Below are 21,521 nucleotides of genomic sequence, written 5' to 3' on the forward strand. Positions count from 1 at the left end.
AGCATTACTTCCTCTGACTTGAATGAAGGGAAGAAGAACATCAGATTTCTCTTTTCCTCAAGCAAGGGGCAAGGAATGGAGCCAAAGCTCTTTGCCCAGCACCATCCCCCACCGTGATCCTAGATCCAAAGCCCTGGGAAGTGGCTGGAGGTTGTCCAGCACTTGCTACCGACTGCACTGAGAAAACACACTTTTCATGAGATCAGAAGTCAACACCAAGTACAGATAAAGAAATATCCCTTCAAGCAAGTCGGGAAAAAAAAAAAAAGAACAAAGAACAAGGACTTTCTACAAGTAGTTCTAGTTCTGAGTGAGAAACATCCTTCCTGGTCGTTTCTGTGGGCTTGAGGACACGAGTGACACAGACACCAATGCCACGTTCTCATGGGGAACAAGCTCTGATCCCAAGAAAAACACCAGCAGGCAAAATTCCCCGGTTTCCTTGTTCTGCTTACAAATTTGGACAATCCCTGGGGGTGGAGGCCAATTTTCTTGCCAAAGGCTGAGAGAGCCAGATAATATTTTCATGGTCTTATTTTAGAATGGGTAGCTCTGTAAACAACCTCAGTGACAAAACCCACAGACAGCTTGTCTGGATCCTTATTTGAAGCAGAAGGTCACCAGCGAGGTAGACATCCCAGATGCACTTTAGACATGTGACAAAGTGCACAAGCCCAGCCAGTGCTGGCTCCCAGATGAGGGACACTTACCTCACCTTCTAAGTTTTGATAGTGCCATAATGCAGCCTGCTCCGGGGGCCTGAGGTCAGAACGGGACCCACACTTGGGAGCCAGCGGGTATTGGAAAAAGGTCTCTCTCTCAAGAGGACAGACCTTGCATGGCACAGGACAGGCAGATTTGCAGAGAAAGGGATGGCTGGCCTGTCTTGCTTGAGAACAGCAAAGGTAGGGAAGTGAGAGCAAGTAGGGAGAAGAGATGATTCAAGTAGAAGGGCAAAATGACTTCTAAATATGCATTTAGCAGAAGGAAAGTCAAAGTCCCGGGAAGCCAATCAGCACAGTGGCTGCAATCACAGGCTCCGATTCTGAGGCCGGGTCACACTCAGCCGCACCATCAGGTCTCAGCCACACTCAGCTCAGCTGCTTACAGGGGCCTCCCTTCCCTCAACTGTGGAACAGAGGGAACATGCGTACTTAATTCATACGGGATGGCATGAGGAGTAAATGAACATATAAATAAACAAAAAATAAACATATCCACCACTTACGACAAGGCCTGGCACACAGAAATCCCTCACTCCATAAACATCAGATGGCGCAGTTGTTCTAATGATCACCTCCACCCCTAGGGGTCTTCCTCCAGAGGCTGCAGCCCATCCTGGCTCACAGCCCTGCCAACCGGTGGGGAGGAACTTTCAACCCCTTTCTCTGCCAGTTTCTCTGCTAAGCTGACTTGTTGGCTGTTTGACCTTGGACACATTACTGAAATGCTCTGTGCCTCAGTTTCCTCATATGGGGACAATGGTTGTGTCCTATCTACTTCATGGATCTACTTTAAGTAGAAACTACAAGTTCAAAAAGGAGGTTATTGCCCTGCGGGTCCAATGGAAACTCTTCTGCTTTCGGCAGATCATATTCAAAGTCAGGACTACAAGACAGAAACTCTTCAACTCCTGTGTACTGACATCCAGGTGCCCGGGTGAGCCCAGCATTTTCACACCTATTATTGAGCCAGTGGTGAAACTTTTTCAAAGAACTAAGATTCATCTTTAAACATCAAATCATTGTTATTATTTGCCATTTTTTATGAGACTTTTTCTAAAATATAAAGATAAAACAGAGTTTTGATCAATAATGAAAAGAGGTTTAATTGGTTCATGGTTCTGCAGCCTGTACAAGAATCATGGTGCGGGCATGTGCTCGGCTTCTGATGAGGACTTAGGAGCTTACAATCATGCCAGAAGGCAAAGCAGGAACTGGCGTCTCGCACAGCAGGAGTGGGAGCAAGGGGAGGAGATGACACGCACTTTTAAACAACCAGATCTCGTGAGAACTTACTATTGTGAGGACAGCACCAAGCCATGAGGAATCTACCCCTAAGATCCAATCACCTCCCACCAGGCCCTGCCTCCAAAATTGGGGATTACAATTCCACATGGGATTTGGAGGGGACAACATCCAAACTGTATCGGCCTCATAGGACAACAAGTACTGTGACAACAAGAAAAGAACTGAGAGAGAAGATCCCAGGACTTCCCGCCCTTCTTCCCAAAGTAATAATCTGGCACATCTGTGCAGATCCCAATAATCTGGCATATCCCTCAGCCTGGGCTCCAGCCAGGGGCACACTCACCTGCTTTGCGGCGGCCTGGCTCGGAGGTAAAGAACCCGGCGTGAGCACAGGGGGGCTCCCAGGGCCACAGAGTTCAGGAAAAGGATTGGGGATGGCCGGCAGAGATGAGGTTCTAAACTGCTGGTCTTCCTCCTGAAGGCGCCTGGAAGGCAGGGATAAGTGCCTGTTAAAAGCTGCCATTCCCCACATGACCCAGCCTTACCACTGTGGTGATACACCCAGAAAGCAGGACACAGGGCTTCTAGGAGTCACTGGCATGCCCACGTTCACAGTGGCATCCTTCACAAAAGCCAAAAAGTAGAGGCATCCCAAGGGTCTGCAGATGGATGAATGGATGAACAATATGTGGCATATCCATACCATGGAACACTACTCAGCCATGAAAAAGGAAGCACATTCTGACACAGGCTACGACACGGATGAACCCTGAAGACATTATGCAGAGTCAAACACACCAGTCACAAAACCAGAGACACTGTGTGATTTCACCCAGTGAGGTAGGTAGTGTATTCAAACCCATAGAAAATAGAAGGGTGGCTGCCAGGGGACTAAGGGGAGGGCAATGGGGAATCGCTGTTTATTGGGGACAGAGTTTCAGTTTCATAAGATGAGAAAGTTCTGGAGATTGTACAACCATTGTGAGTGTGCATTAATACTACCGAACTGTACCCTGAAAAAAACAGTTAATATGGTAAATTTTATGTTACATGTATTTTACTAAAACGAAAACTTTAAAAAAATTACAAGTTGTCATTCTCAGACCCAAAGGGTATTGGGTATCAATTCTCTTCTTCATTAGGCATCGGGGGCGGGGGGCGGGGTGCCGAAGTTTTGTTGTCCTGGGTGCGTGCTCATCTCAGGCAGCATTCAGTGCCTGACATGGCATCAGCTCCAAATACCTCATCCGTTTGATCAGTGAATACCTGATGTGTGAAAGTTTTCTGAATATGAGCATTTTCATGAGAACCAAGTGTTTTTCAATGTCCTTGAAATGAGCATTAATCTAATCAAATGAAAATACAAGAAAAGGCTGTGTGTTCTCATCTGAATTATGCAATGGATGGTTACTTATATAAAAAGGTTGTTGACACTGAATTAACTGGAAATTATAGCTTCATGTATCTGTCCTCGCAAAGCCTGTGTCCACATTAGAAACACACCTTGGAAACACACGCTGAATCCACACACCACCTCTACTTTCCTGGCACATCTCCAGGGGCATCTGTTCCCTCCTCCGAAAAATGCACAACCCACTTGTCACACAACTATGCAACACACACACAGTATGACGAATCAGAAGCAACTGTGAACAGCAGAGAAATCAAGTTCAAAGTCAAAGCGAATGTCAAGTGTCTGGCACCTCCCCTCTGTAGAGTAACTTCTGGCCCACACCTCCAGGGCACTCCTGGACACACAGCCTCCTCCACCCTTCCTGAGGCCACGCGGCCCTGTCTGCAGCCTCCTACCTTCAAGGAGAGGGGAGCAAACCTCACATTATCTTCACTCGGCATTTCCAATCCCTCCCCATGTTTAAACATACCTCAGAAACCCCCATCATAGGCTGTGTCCTCAAGTAATTTTTTTGACAATTTTTACGATTTCACAAAATCAACAATCCGTTAGCTTTCCCAGGAGATTTGCCACTACAGAAACACATTTTGTGACTGTATTACTTTTTCTCTTTTACCAACTTTCCCTATTTTTTAAAGGAAGATCCAGCTAACTATCCCACGTAGACCAGCAAATGATGCATGGATTTAAAATTACGAGAACTCACATGGCATGAAGGGAATCAGTGCTGCGAAATACAGGAAAGCCGTTCCTATAATGGTTTGATGACATGCCATAAAGTTTATTTTTACTGTGAACAAATCCCACTCTTCCCATAACAGCTTCAGCCTTGGCAAGGCGTCCAACTGAAACGTCTGGCCATTGTCATACAGGAGGAGATGGATAAAACGGGTGGCCAGTGCCACTTTCCCATCCACGGCTTCTAGCCAGTGACTTCACCCCAAAAAGATAATCTGACGTTTTAGTGTCCACAAAAGCTTCTCTATTTATTGGGTTGTTTTGAGCATTTTAAAAAGTCCTGTGTTGACTTTAAAGCGGCTCAGAGACATCGCCTAAGGCAAGACTAAGGGATATCACACAAAGACAAAAAATCCCCACCAAAGAGGCTCACAATAGAAGGGACAGTGACTATGGAGAGGGGTGCTGAGATTTAGGGATGTCAGGGATGGTGGCAGGAACTGCAGAGCTGAGGGGCGAGGTCCTTCTTCTCTGTGCCTTGGCTCACTTGTGTTTGTCTAGAACACATGCGTGGCCCTTGCACTCTCAAAAGCCTGGGTTCCTTCTCTGTACAGAATCGGCTCACCCATCGGCTTTCCTATGTGCAAAGCCTTCTTGCCCTTCCCAAGTGTCTCCTCTGCCCATACCCTGCCTGCCCCCCAGCTCCCTTCGGGTTGCATGGCAGCCCCCGGTAAGTTCCTCTGCAGCGTGGACCATGCTCCGTGACCTCTGGTACCCAGCAGCCTGCTCCATGGCCACTTCCCACCTGATGTGGTGAGCCCAGTTACCGCCCCGCTGTGCCACGGTTTCCTCAGCTGGGAAGCGAGGGTAACCCACACTGCCTCCCTCCGAGGGCACTGATAACAAGGAGGAGCTCATCAGCATCTGCACACAGTAAGCACTCAGCAAATGGCCTCACTTCACAAAATAATCTTTGGTGATTCCAGATTGATCTCCACATTTTTTTTTAATCCACCTGAAAGTAAGAAACAAAACTACTTATCTGAGAGGACACCAGAGAGAAGACATTGGGCCCAAGGAACAGCACCTGTGACCCTGTAGGGAGAGGGCTTTGCTGTCCCACAGAGCAAGCCTGCCCCTCCATCCCAGGGACTTAGCGCAGGTAGTCCCGGGGCACATATGGGCGAGTTCAGCCAGAACTCGAGGTTCAAGGGTCCTGGGCAACTACTCCAGCAGGGAGGCAGGCCTTCTGGCTTTCCAGCCCACCCTCGGGCACCTTCGCCATGCAACTGCACCTCCATATTCCCAGGCACTCCCCAAGGCTACTGTGATGCTCCCAAGAGATGCTCCCAAGAGAAAAACAGCTCTCCCACCAGACTTAACTCCTCAGGAGCTAAGTACAAGGGGTCACGCTTCAAAGAGCAAAGTTGAACAAACCCTGGGACAGGCATCATTCAGCATCAATGAATATGACAAAAAGTGAGAAGTCGGAGGGGAAGCCGGGGTGGGAAGCTGGGGAGGCAGCTGACCACGGGCGCCAGGGCCGCTGCACCCTCTCCCCTCCGTAAGAAACAGCTGCCACCTGGGGCAAGGTGATTATCTGGGCTGCGGAAGACCCAAGATGTCAGACCACAAAGAAAACTCTCAGAAGTTTCTAGAAGCAAGAAGAGCCCAGGAAATGAACAGAGCTCCCCGGAAGATGGGGTGCTGAGACAGAAGGCACCAGAACCCCATCCTGACAGAGGCCAGTGAGGGCAAGGGGCAGTCCCAGCAGAGATGGCTGTACATCCTCCGCAAAGGCCCAGAGAGGCACGCAGGGTCCCACGGAGCCCCACGCCATCCCGACTGCGACAGGGCAGACAGGCGGATCCTTGAGGGCTGCCCCTGGCTCTCAGCTTGATTCTACAAAGATCTTCATTCAGAATGTCTAAGGTACTCTCAGCACCTTCACCTTCGACATGACCATTCTCTAGACACCCTCCTCCCAGGCACTCGAGACAAAATCCAAGTCACCCTCCACACACTCTCTGTCTCCTCACAGCCCTGGCAAAATTCAAGTGCTGGCAAAACGCAGCTGCTCCTCCTCAGCAACGTGCTCAAATCCCCCCTCCTTCTTCATCCTCAGGCAGCGCACAATCATCTCCCATCCGGGGGCTCCTGAGACCACTTCCAAACCGGCCATGCTCTGCCAACCCTGCTGCCCTCTACCACTGCCCCCACGACCCCTGGCAACCAGAATGCTGGTGTCAAAACCCAAACCCAGCCCCTTCACACGCCTGTCCAGAACTCTTTCTCACGTGGCTCCTGAAAAAGGCACACAAAGTGCTTCAGCACCGGCCCCCATCTGCATCATCTCTTCTGCTCACAAAACCTCTGCCTCCATCTATCTGAGCTCCTATCACCCTTTGACATCCGTTCAGAAATCCTACCTCCCAGGAACCTCCCTCAACGTCCCCAGCACGTTCCTCCCTCCAGCCTCCCTGTTTCCACAGAGATGTGCCTACCCCTGAATTAGCAGAGGAATGTGGCAAAATGCAACTCTGAGGGAGGTCTGGGGTTGCACGACAAGCTCCAGGGGGTGCTGTAGCTGCTAGCCTCCCGTCCCTACTCTGGGTAGTGAGGACTTGGGGCATGCAATCAGCTCCATGGCTGTTCTTCCAATCTTTCCAGAGATTTTTCCTCTGGTGGTTTTCCTGCATATCCCTCTACCTAGCACAGTGCCTTGCACATAGCAGGCACTCAATAAAAGGTACTACTGGAATTGAACTGGCTACAAAGTTCAACCCAAGGGCGGCACACTGCACACACTCAGTGTATCCGTTATCCCATCAAAGCAATGTATCTGCCTCTTGACTTTGCAAGACCAACACTATTCCCCCCAACACCATTTAACTCACAGAGAGCAGTGTCCCTGCCGACAGCTCTCATCCTTGGAGAAGGCTCTGCCCATAAGGCCTGGACCTACCTGACAGCGAGGATGTGCACAGGCTGGGAGCGCTGCACCCTCTGCCTCGGGGACACCTGTGGCTGGATGGACCGAGGAGGGCCTGAAGCCCGAGGCTGGCTGCGGGCATGCTGGCCATTCTGCAGGAGGGGCACCGTGTCTGACTGCATGCTGCAGGCCGAGTACAGGCTCTCCAGGGATGCATTCATATCGTTCACCAGGGCTTCCAGGTCCACATCATCCTCTGCACAGAAAAAGGCAAGAGCAAAAAAGAAACTTTAACAATGGAGAGCAATCAAACCCAAATGTACATCTTGGTGATCAGGTTCCAAACCTCAATCCTATTTTTCAAATATTATGGAAGGGGTAGAGGGGAAACACCAAGACAAGTATGACTGTATGGAAGCATGCATATTACATGTATTCATCATGACTGACATTCCAGAGACAATTCAATCATTAGAGCTGGGCTGCATTTCTACCTGTCTCCAGGGAGAAGCCATTCAGAGCATCTGCTCAGCTCCCTTCAGCACCCCCTTCTCTCCTCCCCACCCCCTCCGGTAGGCCGCACACAGCCACAGCTGCATAGCACGACCCCACTGGCCTGGACTCAGCTGACTGAATCACAGGTGTCTCCCAGGATCAGGACTCTCCCTTCCCTGGGATTCCAGAAGTGAAACAAGAGACAGAAACAGAGCAGCACCCAACACTGACACTGGTTCCAGCCCAGAAAGGTTAAGTAGGGGCTGACACTGTGGCAGGGGTTTGTGTGTGGCTGCTACTACAACACATGCCTGAGGGCTTCGGGTGCCCACCCATCCTCTCGATTGGCCAGAGTGCAGAAGGAAGCCCATCTTCACAGAGGAAGGCATGGGGCAGATGCAGAGAGAGAAGCCACAATGGCACAGAGAGTAAGTGAGAGAGAGAGCGGCGGAAAACGCACTGTAGAAAGGGAGGAATGAGCACGCAGAGACAGTGATGGTTGGTTTTATGTGCCAACTTGGCTGGGCCATGGTGCCAGGTTTTAGCTAAACACTAGACTAGATGCTGTGAAAGTATTTTTTAGATGTAATTAACATTTAAACCACAGACTTTGAGTAAAGCAGATTGTTCTCTCTCATGTGAGAGTGCCTCAGCCCATCACCTGAAGACCTGAATAGAAGAAAAAGACCGGCCTCCAAGGGGAAAGATGGAATTCTGCCTCCAGACCTGAGCTGCAACCCTTCCCTGGATGTCCAGCCTGCCAGCCTGCCCTGCAGATTTTGGACTTGCTAGCCTCCACAGTGTCATGAGCCAATTCCTAAAACACATGTGTCTCTCTCTGTATACAGCCTATTTAATGGGTCTGTTTCTCCAGAGAAACAGAGACCTAGGGCTACAACCCAGCACATGGAGATGGGGAGGGGTTGGGGTGGGACGGGGAAAGGGAGCCAGGAGCTAGGGCTGTGCAGCTTCCGGTGCTTCCTAAGGCCTGGCTGCACTCCTGCTCAGGGAAGATTGGTAAAACATTCTTGCATCCATACAATAATTTTGTTGTTGTTGTGCTTAAGCTAATTTGAGTGAGTTTTGTACGTGTAACCCAATACATTCTAATAATATTGACTCCTTTCTTCTGCATTTTTAGATTTTTCGCTTTTTGACATCATGGCAAATAATGATGGAAGCTCACATAATTCGTCCTCTCTTCTGCTCCCAGAATAGCTGCAAGTTACACCCACTTAACACACAGGGTCACAGACAGCAAGACCCTCTTCCTACCAAAGGCTACATTGGTAGGAAGGAAAGCAGAGACCGGCACTTGCAAACTTGCTCACCCTGCCCTGCTCCTAGTAGCTCTGGGCCCAGGGCCCAGGACGTGGGCTTCCTATTTCTTAAGAGTCCTCAACTCTAACATGAGCTTAGCAATAGTGTCCACCCCACCGGGGGGGGGGGGGGGTTGTAAGGACTAGGTTAGTTATTATCTGCTTTATAACACAGCTTGGCACACAGTAAACAGGAAGATGTTATTTATTAGCCCTATTTCATCTATTTCTTACAAAATAACAAAAAGTGATCGTTATTAACCTGGCTTAACAGCTGAGGAAATAGGCCTGGAAGAATTAAATCACCTGCCCAAGGTCACATAAGCGGTATTGAAAATAAGCTTTGCATCCCTCATTCTCTCCTACCAGGTGTGTGCTCCTCACAGAAGCTTCAGAGGGGCACTCTGCCCTCTGGTTAGGAAGGCCTTTGTTTTAAAGGGCTCCCCTCATCTCTCAAGGCTAAAGGGCATAACAAGACAAGACATAAGGAAACAAAACAACAACAATGAGGGAGGGAAGTCCTGGGCAACCACGGTAGTGCAGAGGGGGTATGGAGTGGGCAGGGTCACCCCCGGGGGTAGTGCTTGGGCTTCTGGAGTGGGTGGGACAGTAGGAGCAGGGTTTAGCCAGATCACGCTCAAGATCCTGGTGAAGACAGACAGATAGAAGGGAGGGGTGAGGACAGAAGGGAGGCTGCTGAAATGGCAGCGATGAGATCACTGAGGCCTGGCCAGCACAGCCCTTGCTGGAAGAACAGAGGCCACATTCAAACCAGGGCCAGGGGAGAGGGCAGGGGCTGGGGAGCATCAGGCTGGAAGAGGAAGGTTGCCTTAGAAAAACAGGGGTCAGATGGATCCGAAGATGCGGACTGGGTGAAATCAGCAGCTGAGACGCAGCAAGCAGGGCCCTGTGTGCCCAGGATCTGTGTGGAAGGAGGGAAGAAGAGAGATGTTGCCATGGTTCAGGTTGTGAGTGGTCAAATATTAATCCTGGCCAGATATTAAAAGGACAAAGTGCTGAATCAATAATTAATAATTACTGCATAATCAATAATTAATCACAAGGAAGAACACTCAGAGTCAGCAGGCGAACTCTTGCTCATAGCTGGGGTGAGGTGGGGTGGGGAAGAGTTGGTTGGCAAAAAATCAGGACCCCTGGAGGGGCAGGCATGTACCTGCCTGAGCTACCCGAGGCCCAGAAGGCTTGTGGCCTCAGGGAGAGGAGAGCCTCACTGCCAACTGCTGGAGCGAAAATTGCAGTCCAGAGAACTCTGCCTGCCAAAGACAAGACCTCAGTTCTGTATTTATTGAGACTGCTGCATCCATCTTGAGGAAAAGTTATAGTGGAGACCACGAATCTGGGGCTTCAGGAAAGTTCTAGAACGTATGCATCACGCACCCACTCATCTCCTACACTCCTATTTAGCTGACAGGGAATAGCTGCTTAATTGAAGCTCTGCAAAACAATTAGCACGAGCGCCACTCTTAACTTACCGTATTAACAGCTCAATATTTCTATCTCAGTGGGCCATCTAAAAGTCAATACTGGCCAAAACACAAAGTTCACTGTTAAGTATAGTCAGTCTTGGGTGATGCAGGTTGGTCTCAATGCCACACACGTGCACACGTGCGAACATGTCCACACACATGCACACACTTGCACACACATACACGTGTGCTGTGGGGCCACTCTGCCAATTCAATGCCAGGCTTTTAATCCTGCTTTGGAAATAAAAACAGTGGTACAGTTCCTACTCTGAGACTGTTCTCTTCTAGGAAAATAACATGTTTTCATTCCCTCTGGGGAATTTTCATGTGCAGTTATTTCTCTCTATGCATTCCTAACAGCCCCTTGGCTGTGCTCCCCAGGCAAGCAGCCCCCGGGGTCTCCTGTCCTTTTCCTGCTAAGCCTTCTGTCAGTCAACCAGATCATTCCTGGGTCATAGCTCTGCAATTAGGTCAAATGCAAAGTAATTCTGTCATTATTCAAAGTAAATATAAGGTAACAGATGCCAAAATATAAACACAACACATATCCTCAAAATGCTTTTACTCTCCTCTGAGGTGGATTATTTGTACAACTATTTTCTACTTTAATACATTCAATCATGAATATTTTCAACAAAGCCAGGTCAATCTGGTAACTCAATAGGTTATAATCTTCATAAACTGAATCCAACCACTCTATCTGGATGTTTCAAACCTTCATACTTTCCAGAGCCATTACAGCAAAAATAAAACTTTTTAGAAATTTTAAATGCCATACTTTAGAAACAACTGTAAAATGTCCTGTGGGGTTCATTAGCATTTTATCTGTTTAGATAATAAAATCAATTATGGTTCTCTGACTTGTAAGCTTCACTAAATTCTAACGAAGAGCGACAGTTAAATCTTCCAAACAGGGGTTTTAAAGGTTTGATTCAAAAGAAGACAATTTTTCATATTCTACACCATTTTTTTTTTAATTACTACATTAAGATACGACTGAAATCACACTGAGTTCTTACAAGCATCCCTATGGCGTTTATTCTGTCAGCTGGTCTACCTCAGTAAGGACTCTGTGTGCCACCTCTGTGGGTGTGGTCAACTGCAAAATTCTTGTCTGGTCCCATGAATCCAAGTGGATCAATAATCACCCATTTGTGAAAGGCCTTCTGCCACGTAACAGAAGTGGGAGAAACAAGTAAACAAATGCTTCTCGCAGTGAATATTCAGATTGTCTATTTAATGTTAACTTGACGCCAAAATATTTTCCATGGGGCTGCCCCACTGGGAGGAATAGTGAAAGGTGAAGAAAAAAATAATTTTATATATAAAATTTCACTTCAGACGGATTTATAAGAATGTATTTTCTGCACAAATATAGGTCAAACAACATGGCTGTCAATCATGTTATTAATAGTTATTTTCCTTCTTTAAATAACCCAGTCCAAAACTGGGTATTAACTTTGCCCCAAATATTTGAGTAGCTTGTCTGATCTCAAATTCACATCTCATCTAGTTTCACTGTCATTAGCAAACTGAGGCTGGCTTAGTTTTAAAATAGATATAAACTCAGCGAAACACATTTGCATCGGGCTTATAAATCATCACGAGTAAATGTCTTCCATGCAGCAGGCTAGGTGTGCTGACTAGGAAAAGGCAAAGAGGACAGAGAAACTCCGGGGACAGAGGATTTAACTTCTAGCACCATCTCACCACCTTCACCAATACATTTCTTAGTTTACAGCACCATCTAGTGTCTTCTTTACATTGTTTAGGGATTAAAGATGACACTGGATTCACTTTACTAAATGATTTGGCAACATAAGGACATGTTATTTGCACCATGTGTTTAGGACGTGTCCATTACGATCCCTTCTTCACAGACCTACACAAGCTTCCATCAGTGTGCGATGCCTTCAGAGCTTTCTCCACTACCCCCTTCCCCCATTTTCATATGGAAGATATACCCTGTTAAGTCATAAACAGCTGGGGTGGGGGTATATCATTAAGTCAAAGCAGATTCAGTCCCTAAGAAACAGATAAATGGCACTTTACATGAAAAGTCTCTAACACATGTGCAAAAGCCAAAGTCCTTACACATTTCTATCTAGAAAAGAAGTGAAGGTCAGGCTGCAAAAGTGTTTTCCACTAGACCATGTTCACTTGGCAAGCAATTTCTGTTAACTTCTAACCAATTAAAACTTTGTGCAAATATAACTTAACCTTCTACTGAAACAGCTTTCTGAACAACAATTTATCTTCTATTCTCATGTATTCTAGTCACATGCACTTAATTTCCCATATATAGAGTTTGGACATAAGTAAGTAGAATAAGAAAACCAGGTATTATATGGTTAGAGTATTCTTCTCTATCATATTTATGGTATTTAAAGATATTCAGCAAACACAAAAGCAAACCACCTAACCACAACTCCAAATAAAAATACAAATGGAATCAATGCTTTATTTCACGGGTTCCTACACACAGGCAGGATTTGAGGCAGAAAATAAAATCCCTAGAATTAGTCTGTCCAGCAAATGCATATAAATATCCTTGTACCTAGAAAGAGCTACACAGTCATAACTCTTGGCTTTCAGTGTTTATAAGAGAAACTTCCTTCTCCCAACCTTTGTTGAAAATGGCATCCTCTCCTCTCTACCCAGCTCACAAAAGACAAGGGGAACCACCATTTTCAGTCTCTAGTAATTGAGAAAACACATATCAACAAACTGATGAATTTAACAATTTGTAAGAATATACGTTTTTTGGTTTTTCATTATGTACAGACACATCTGCAAAAGAGTCGTGGCCTATGCTAATGGGCAGTGGCAGGGCTCCAATCAGTGCTGGTGCCTATGGAGACTCAGAAGTCTCCACTCCGACTCCCAGGACCCACAGGCCACATGGGCAGAATCGCCATCCAAAGCATATTCAAAGTTTGTGATGACATAAAATGGGACAAAAATAAACATATATCCTGGGCATAACATAGTTAGACAAAGCTAAAATCACAAGGATCCTCTCAGTCTGCTGAGGCTACACTCACTTGTTCCTGATTACTATTTACAGGTGGTTTCTTAATTATTTTTCTTAGAATGTTTTTTTTCTTCTCCTAAGACAAATGCAGGCTAGTGTATCCAGGAAGGCTGCATGCATATTTAATCCTATATCCAATTCCCTGAGGGCAGGGGCATTGTCTTCTGCTACCTTGAAACTCCATCCAGACCCTCCTCCAAGAAGATCCCAATATGACTTACAGATCCAGGGCCCTACTCAACAATTCTACAGATAACACAAAATATGGAGACTACTGATTCTCTGCTTTCATAAAATCTGTCCTCTGCTCTCCTTAAAGCTACATTTAAATATACACATTCTTTCTAAATAAAGCACTACCCCGCCCTTTGAGTGTTTAAGTATCTATGGCTGCTATTTAGATTCAAAGCAACTAAGAAGCGACTGAGAGCCAAATCTCAGTCTACAACCACGAAGATGAGGCACAGAGCAGGCACAGCTCATGAGCTGCCTGGCAGGGTGCAGAAGGCTGGGAGACAAGAAGGGGAGCCCCTCCACGGAGAAGCCTCCGGCTCTACCCCAAAGACTACCATCGGATATGCAGACAGCCCTGAGCTGCATCCCTGGCCCTTTTGGACTTTAGGCAAGCTGCTCCAGTCTTCCGGCCTCCTCTTAGTCCCAACTCGAGGGGCGATGGTGTTTATGGCTCCCAGGATGCCGCCCGACCTTAAGGCTCTCCAGACCCTTTCTTCTTTGTTTCCTTGAAAATGTGACTGTTAACAGTGGATAGAGAAAAACCTGTATTTTACAAATGAGCTGCTAAAATCATATCTCCCTTGTGGAAGGAGAGAGGATTCTTACAACGCAACAACCAGGAAATGATTCTGTTGCCAGAATAATCTGGTTTATGAGCCTCTTTCCTCTGTGTGCACACGGAGCCTGCCATGAAGCACTGAAAAGACTGCCTGGGCATCTGAGTGTATTTGAGTTTATGGGGCTCCTTCAAAATGCAAAAGTAAACATTTGACATGCTTTCTTCAAGTTTCCATTTGCATTTTTCACGTTTCACGGGGGCTGCACCCTTGCCTTCCATGTGAGGTGTAACTTCCCCTTTTAAGTCATTTTGCCCTAGCCTTCCTGCTTCTGCGCCTGGTAGGAGTTTAATTTCACCAGCCAGGGCTGCCAACCTAATAGAATTTCTGACTCTGGGTGTGTCAGTGCTGAGCAGAGGAGTCTCTGAGCCCCGGGTTGATGAATCCTGAGTGTGTCAGGTGATCCTTAGAAGAAACAGAGCAGGAGATGGTAGGGGGCTTTGCTTTCCTTGGCTGGAGGCAGCCCTGCTACCCACTCAACCCAATGTTTCTGTTGCCCCCCAGCACTGGCCACCTTGGGAACCAAGATATTGGGAAGGGACCTGAAGGGCATAAGGGAATCCAGAGACTCTTGAGAAGGGATCGTAGCTCACCTCAGAACGCCTGGAGCAGTTGGCTAAACACAGCAATTTTAGGAGCCCCTGACCCCTTTGTCCAGAGTGTGGTGAGTCACTCCAGTGAGGAAGAGAGTTTGGCAGGTGGCAGCCTGCCTTGGCATCTGTTTGGGTAGATTGCTAGGCTCTGCTCATTTTGGCCTACACCTCTGCTGACGTTTTCCCCAGGCTCTGGGATTTAGGTGGGAAAAGTCATTAACGTGCCCTCAGGCAGGGTCAGAGCCATGATATCTGCTATTTGGTGTTTTTGGGTAAGTGTGTGAAAAGGATTGGTAACCGTATTTGAAAATCAATGATCATGTCGGCTCAACATCACCCGAACAAAGGGATGACCCTCATTTTTGCTTTTTATCTTTCAGGCCTTTAGTATTTCCAGTTAAGTATTTGACAAGTTAAAAACCAATATATATACTACTTTGTTTCTGTACTTTTTGGCTTGTCACTTTATAGCAGTGGTTTGAAAAGTTTTAAATCAGAAATGAGTATTTACACTTTGGAAAATATATTTGAATCAGAGAGGAAAGGTGGCCTAAGGAATGAGATTTCATGACAGAAAATGGTTTTTATTAATTAGTAACTGTCAGCATATATTTTCTGGTCCAATTCAAAGGGGAGGGAAACATAAATCTGTTAAATCTCAACGCTCACACTGAAATGTTGCAATGGGGAAATTTGGGCTTATTCATATTCAATAATTAAATATCTTCAAAGCTTAGAAGAAATACAAATTTGTTTTTCTTTCTTTGTTCTATTTTTAAAAAGTAAAAGCAGGTATATACCCCCCAAAATTGAAAGTAGGGACTTCAACAGATAATCGTACACCCTTGTTCACAACAGCACTATTCACAACCCAAAGGCGGAAACAGCACAAGTGCCCCTCAACAGATGAACAGATGAAGAAAATGTGGCACATATACACACAATGGAATATTATTCAGCCACAAAAAAGGAAGGTGCCTCTGAAACGCACTAGAACTCAGAAGAACCTTGAGGACATAATAAGCCAGTCACAAAAGGATAAACACTATCTGATTCTGCTCATGGGGTCCCTGGAGTAGTCAAATTCCTAGAGATAGTGGAATGGTGGTGGCCAGGGGCTAGGGAAGGAAATGGGGTGTTATTTATTTGATGGGTACAGAGTTTCATTTTTGCCAGATGAATAGAGTTCTATGGATGGATGGTGGTGAAGGTTGTGCAACCATGTGAACGTTCTTAATGCCATTGAAATGTGCATTTAAAAATGGTAAGGATGGGCTGGGAGCAGTGGCTCACGCCTGTAATCCCAGCACTTTGGGAGGCCGTGGCGGGTGGATCACCTGAGGTCAGGAGTTCGAGACCAGCCTGATCAACATGGCGAAACCCTGTCTCTATTAAAAATACAAAAATTAGCCAGGTGTGGTGGTGTGCACCTGTAATCCCAGCTATTCAAGAGCCTGAGGCAGGAGAATCGCTTGAACCCGGGAGGTGGACATTGCAGTGAGCTGAGATCATGCCACTGCATTCCAGCCTGGGTGACAGAGCGAGACTCCATCTCAAAAAAAATAAATAAAAAACAAAAAATAAAAAATAATGGTAAGGGTGGTAAATTGTGTTAGGTATATTTTACCACAATTAAAAATAATAATTAAAAAACAAACGCAGTTTTTAAATTGAATTGTTCCCAGGTTACCCTCCAGGTGATGCCAAGCAGATTGGCTTGTTAAAGGACCAGGACAAGGCTAGTCATTTCCTAAGTTACACTAAACATAGATTCCTCTTCCTAGAAAAATAAGAATTTTCAGTATAAATGTGTATGCTTCCCCACCAATCCTGCAGAACATGGCAGGTGGGATTTTAAAAAACTGTTTATCTTTAATGACACATGCAAAGTGCCGCCGCCAGTGGAGGCTCATTAAATTAAACTTATAAAAATGTAGAAAGTCTATCTCCTTTTACACACAGCTGGGCCAACAGCCCCTCACCCATTTCCCCAGGACAACTGGTAGCAAAGGCTAAAGTCTAGGACAAACTTCAGAATCAAATGCAGATAGCCTGGCGGCCAGACAACTGCAACTCAATCATCACCAAAAAAAAAAAAAAAAAAAAAGGTAAGGTAATAATTAATCACTCTGTACTTTGATTCCAGTGAGATTTTTTTTTTAATTGTGGTTTAGGGAGTTGTACAATAATTATATTTAAAAAAAATAAGGAAAGCAATTCATCTTAGCGATTTCATCAAAGACCTGGCATCCAATGTTCAGTGAGCATCCCCTAGAAAAGCATGTAAAGTTTCCTTTTCCTTGGTTTCATCCTGCTACACTGCTGCAAGGAAGCACCTGGGCATTACTAAGATCCCGTCAGGCCCTTTATGACTGCCTGGACTCTGCACCATAGAGCCTATACAACACAGGAAAACAAATTTTCCACTACCAAAACATTACAGCCTGCCCAGCAAGAACCAAAAACCTAAGCTAAAACTGCATTTAATATGCACAGATTCAGCTAAGCAATTTCTATCTGTACTACTCAAAAGACACTTCGGGAGTGACAGAGAAACATACCCACAAAATATTACTCAAAAAGAGCAAAGGATTAACTGTATCTTTCCCAAGTCTTCCTTAGCCATTTGATCTGTTTCCTCTCAGGCTTTTTATTTCAATTCCTAACTCTTCTATTACATCACAAGTCACGGAGAAGCAGAAGTACAAGAAACTATATAAATAACTTGTCATTCTGGAAGGTTCTCATTTTCCATGAACCCTAAAAATATTAGCCCGAGAACACTGGAACTGAAGAGGGAAAATCCAGGTTATGGTCCAAATTTCTGTCACTCACTAGCACTGTGCTCTCTCAGAAAGTCCATTTTTTAAAGGTAAATTAGACACCGGGGAATCTTTACCATCACATCCAATGTTAACACTCTATGATTCTGTGGATTTAACTCCATAAATTTAAAATCCATTCATTTACCCGATATTTTTCTTCATTCAACAAATATTTGCTGAACACTAACTACATCACTTCAGGTATTGGAAATACAGATGTTAACAAAACAGAGACAAATCCCTGCCACCTCGATGCAGTGACGTCTTAAGCAACGATCTTTGGAAAAGGATTTACAAGGCTAAATATAACATAGCAAGAAAGGACAGGAAACTGTTTTTACTACTTCTGGAAAAATAATTCCCTCCACAAAGAAGCTAAAACCTGCTTCAGTTAAGTGGCAACTAAAGGAGAGACGAGGGGGTGGACATATCCCGTAGGAAAGAGTGGGCACCCAAGGGCAAGGGGTACTGGAGCCCGAAGGAGGGATCCCAAGCCCCAGCGTTCTGCAAGAGAGGTGAAGGATGAGTGGGAAGTCAAGGGAAGTGCAGAGTCGAGTACAGTGTGCGTCCTCAGATGAAGAGTTTCTTGGCAGAGTTCATGACGCTCCCAGTTTATAAAAGTATCCCAGAGGCCAGAAATTCTCCTAGGATGGTTATGCACACTGCTTGGCAGAGAGAAGAGTTTTAAAATGAGATCTCTGTTTACAGACAAGACAGTCAAGTAGAGGGCATTCAGCTCTAAAAAGAGCCTGAATTCTAAGGCATCAGGATGAGAAAAGTCATTCTAGGAGAACAGTACCAGGCGATTCCAAGAAATGGCAGTTCTCCAAAAACTGAAATGCCCAGGAGAGAGGAGCTGGTTTTCCAGAATGTGGATGGAAATGCAGTGTAACCAGAAAAACAGGACACTCCAGATGGGCCTTAAGGGGCAGATGATCTAGAGCTGTAACCCTCAAACCGCCAGATGCATGGGGCCACCTAGGAACTTCTGGGGTGGGAAAACCAGTTCCTGAGATGCACCTGGCATTCTGATTCCCAGTCTCCGGGGGTGGGCTCAGAAAACGAACAGAGTTCCTGTTAGGGTCTGAATATCTGTGTTCTCCCAAAATTCATGTGTTGAAATCCTAACCTCTACAGTGAAGGTATTAGGAGGTGGGGCCTTTGGGAGGTGATTGGGTCATTGGGGTAGAACCCAAATGATGGAATTCGTGCCCTTATAAAGCCCTGGAGAGACCCTTCCCCATTCCACCATGTGAGGACACGGCAAGAAGACGCCATCTGTGATGCAGAGGGAGAGTCATCATCAGTTGCCAGATCTGGGAGCACCTTGATCTTGGACTCCCCAGCCTCCAAAGCTGGGAGAAATAAATTTATGTTGTTTGTAAGCCACCCAATTGATGGCATTTTCTTACAGCAACTCAAACAGACTAAGACAGTTCCAAAATGAATGCTTACTATTTTTAAGATAATTATTTTTGAGGTGCCTTCTGAACAATGCTCCAGGGAGAGGGGATGCTCCAGGTTTTGATGAACAAAGTATGGAACAAGCACAGGGAGAGAGATTTCACAGTGGGGAGTCATGAGAGAGGAAAAGACTCATGTTTTGATTTTTATTGTTTCTCTCTATAGAACATTACATTATTAATCAGCATGACAAACAAAAGCCACCATTTTTTGAGCACCTGCAAGGTACCAGATACTATGCCAGGCAATTCTCATAGTTCAAGCTTTTCCTCATCTTCCTACCAAACCAGCCAAGCAGGCATTTTTATATATTTCAGGAGAAGAAACTGAGGCACCCAAAAACTTGGCTACCAAGACACAGAGTGGAGAGTCTGCCTAACTCCAAAGTTGCACATACTGCCTCCTTACGTTTTAATAATTTTCTTTAGTTTTTTCCTCACTAAATGTAAGTTTTATTTTTTTATTTAGATACCTTCCTTTGTCAGTGAACTTGAGTTTCTAGAAGGCCGGAGCTGCCCTTGCCTCATGACCTTACCCTGAGTCTGGCACACAGCAGGTGCTCAGTACACGTTAGTTGAGTAGGTGGGAAATAGATTCATCAGTTTCCGTCAATCAAGCGGTAGAATTTTCCCGAAAGCCAGCCAGCCAGGCAGAGCTCCCAAACTCTCTGGAGGCTGCTGTATCTCCAAACTTTTAGTTTCTTGGAAAAAGGCCCAGAGGGTAACCCACCAGGTACATAAATGCCAGATTGTCTTATTCCAAAAATGGATGGCATGTGTCCAAAGAAGAGCTGTTCCAGGCCCAGGAATCTATTGGCAGGATACATTCCCCAGCAGTCAGGCCTTACCAAGTCTACCTGACCATGCCAGGCCTCCCTGCGACTCCGTAGGCTCCAGGAGTGACACTCAACAAGCCCTCCTCTATGGCGAGCCTTCACACCTCTGCCTTGAATCCTGCCTTGCCCATCCCAATAGTGTTTCTGTCCAGGAAGTGCAGCGAATTCAACGTCTGCCCTGGGCTTTTCTGCTCTGAGAAACCCCAGCCACCTCTTGCATGCACGCTTCCCACATAAGCCCAAGCCTTTCATGTCTCCACTCAACCCTGGGTGCAGCTCCATGCATCTGCGGATCCTGCCGTAGGGAAGACACCATTTTGCATGTCACTACCTTCTTCTCTGCTTCCGCATGGTGTCTACAAAACAACAAATCTGCTGTCCTTCTAAGGCACAGCAGCTGCCCATGATGTAAGGTCAGTCTCCCCCTCAGTACCTTGTCCTGCCAGCAGAGACCACAATGGAATATGAGAAGTTGGTGCTTGGTGGGATGCTGGGCGCTGCCCTGGGAAGATTTCTATTTCCAAATGGAAGGTGAAAATAAGTGTGTCTGACACATCGTGTACTTACTGCTCACATCTCCAAGAAGCATAGACACTTAGCACTCAACAAAGCCAAATTCAGTATTGTATTTCACAAGTATTCCTCGTCTGTTCTGCTCAATGCAGTGTATGCTGGTGAAAAAGAGTGGTTCAGATTGAGAAACCGTGGAGGGGAGGGAGGAACAGTACAAGAATCTAGCACTATGCCAAATGTTCACATATGGCATCTAAGTAGCCTTATGCCAAACCATGAGCTAAATGCTATCAGCCACATTTCACAAATGAGAAAACCAAGGTCAGCAAGGCTAAAACACACACTCAGCACCACACAGCTATGAGTAAAACTTGATTCCTCCTCTGGTTTAACTACAAATCCAACATCTTTCAGTTTTCCCAGATTTAAAAAACAAAAAACAACATGATCCCTGGGCTTAAGGAACATAAACTGCAAAGGCAGACATGTATTTGATAATTTAATAAAGTGAAGTATGACAGGTCTGGGGGAGAAGTAAAAAGCCACAGGGGATACCAAAGAGGAAGCAGCTGCTTTTAATGGGCAGAGGGAGAAAGAGAAACATCCAGGGAGAAGGTAGTGTCATCTTTGTCAGGACCAAAGAATGAGAGAAACTTAAACACTCAAAAGAGGTTAAATCATTCCTGGCTAGGGGCAGCCCATAGACAAAGGCCGGGGAGGGCAAAAATAAACAGCGGTTCCAGAAAGGTAAGCTGTCTATGCAGCTGGCCCAGGTGATGTGTGTACAGGAAGGATGTGAGAAGACGCCAAAGAGTAGAGTGAGGACTCACTCCTAGGCCACTGAATCCCACTCTCAGAGAAGACAATGGTGTTCCCAGACTGTTTAAAAAAAAAAAATCTGACAACCACACAGAATGGCCAGAAGGTGCAGAGGCAGGCAGTGAGTGACAAGGGTGGGGGTCGGGTGGGTGAGGGGGGGCAGAGGTGGAGCAGATGTTGAGTGAGACCTGGGAGAAACCGAACTGTCGGCAAGCACATGAACAGGGAAAGATGGATTCCAGGTCACTGCAGAGTGCACCAGAAGTAGGGGTGGAGGTTATCAGGGGCATAC

At 46.1% G+C, this 21,521-nt stretch overlaps 1 protein-coding gene across 41 annotated transcripts in view, besides 2 other annotated features; it reads right to left on the bottom strand.

The window, feature by feature from the left end:
* Positions 1-21,521, bottom strand: part of GRB10 (growth factor receptor bound protein 10) — a 203,386-nt gene that overhangs the window by 77,341 nt on the left and 104,524 nt on the right. For all 41 annotated transcript variants that reach the window (XM_017012061.3, XM_047420243.1, XM_047420233.1 and 38 more), the window contains 2 exons: positions 7,028-7,250; positions 2,314-2,455 (listed from right to left, as the gene is read on the bottom strand). In XM_017012061.3, the coding sequence (XP_016867550.1) occupies positions 2,314-2,455; positions 7,028-7,215 (330 nt within the window). In that variant the 5' untranslated portion in view covers positions 7,216-7,250. The remainder of the gene's footprint in view (positions 1-2,313; positions 2,456-7,027; positions 7,251-21,521) is intronic.
* Positions 1,832-2,333: an enhancer, noted in NCBI's record as "H3K4me1 hESC enhancer chr7:50736937-50737438 (GRCh37/hg19 assembly coordinates)". NCBI's record gives its function as "activates a minimal SCP1, AML or CMV promoter by ChIP-STARR-seq in primed H9 embryonic stem cells {active_cell/tissue: H9 hESC(primed)}" and the evidence as "EXISTENCE:reporter gene assay evidence [ECO:0000049][PMID:30033119]".
* Positions 2,334-2,833: an enhancer, noted in NCBI's record as "H3K4me1 hESC enhancer chr7:50737439-50737938 (GRCh37/hg19 assembly coordinates)". NCBI's record gives its function as "activates a minimal SCP1, AML or CMV promoter by ChIP-STARR-seq in primed H9 embryonic stem cells {active_cell/tissue: H9 hESC(primed)}" and the evidence as "EXISTENCE:reporter gene assay evidence [ECO:0000049][PMID:30033119]".

Source organism: Homo sapiens, chromosome 7 (assembly GCF_000001405.40).
Source record: "Homo sapiens chromosome 7, GRCh38.p14 Primary Assembly".
NCBI classification, from domain to species: Eukaryota; Metazoa; Chordata; class Mammalia; order Primates; family Hominidae; genus Homo; species Homo sapiens.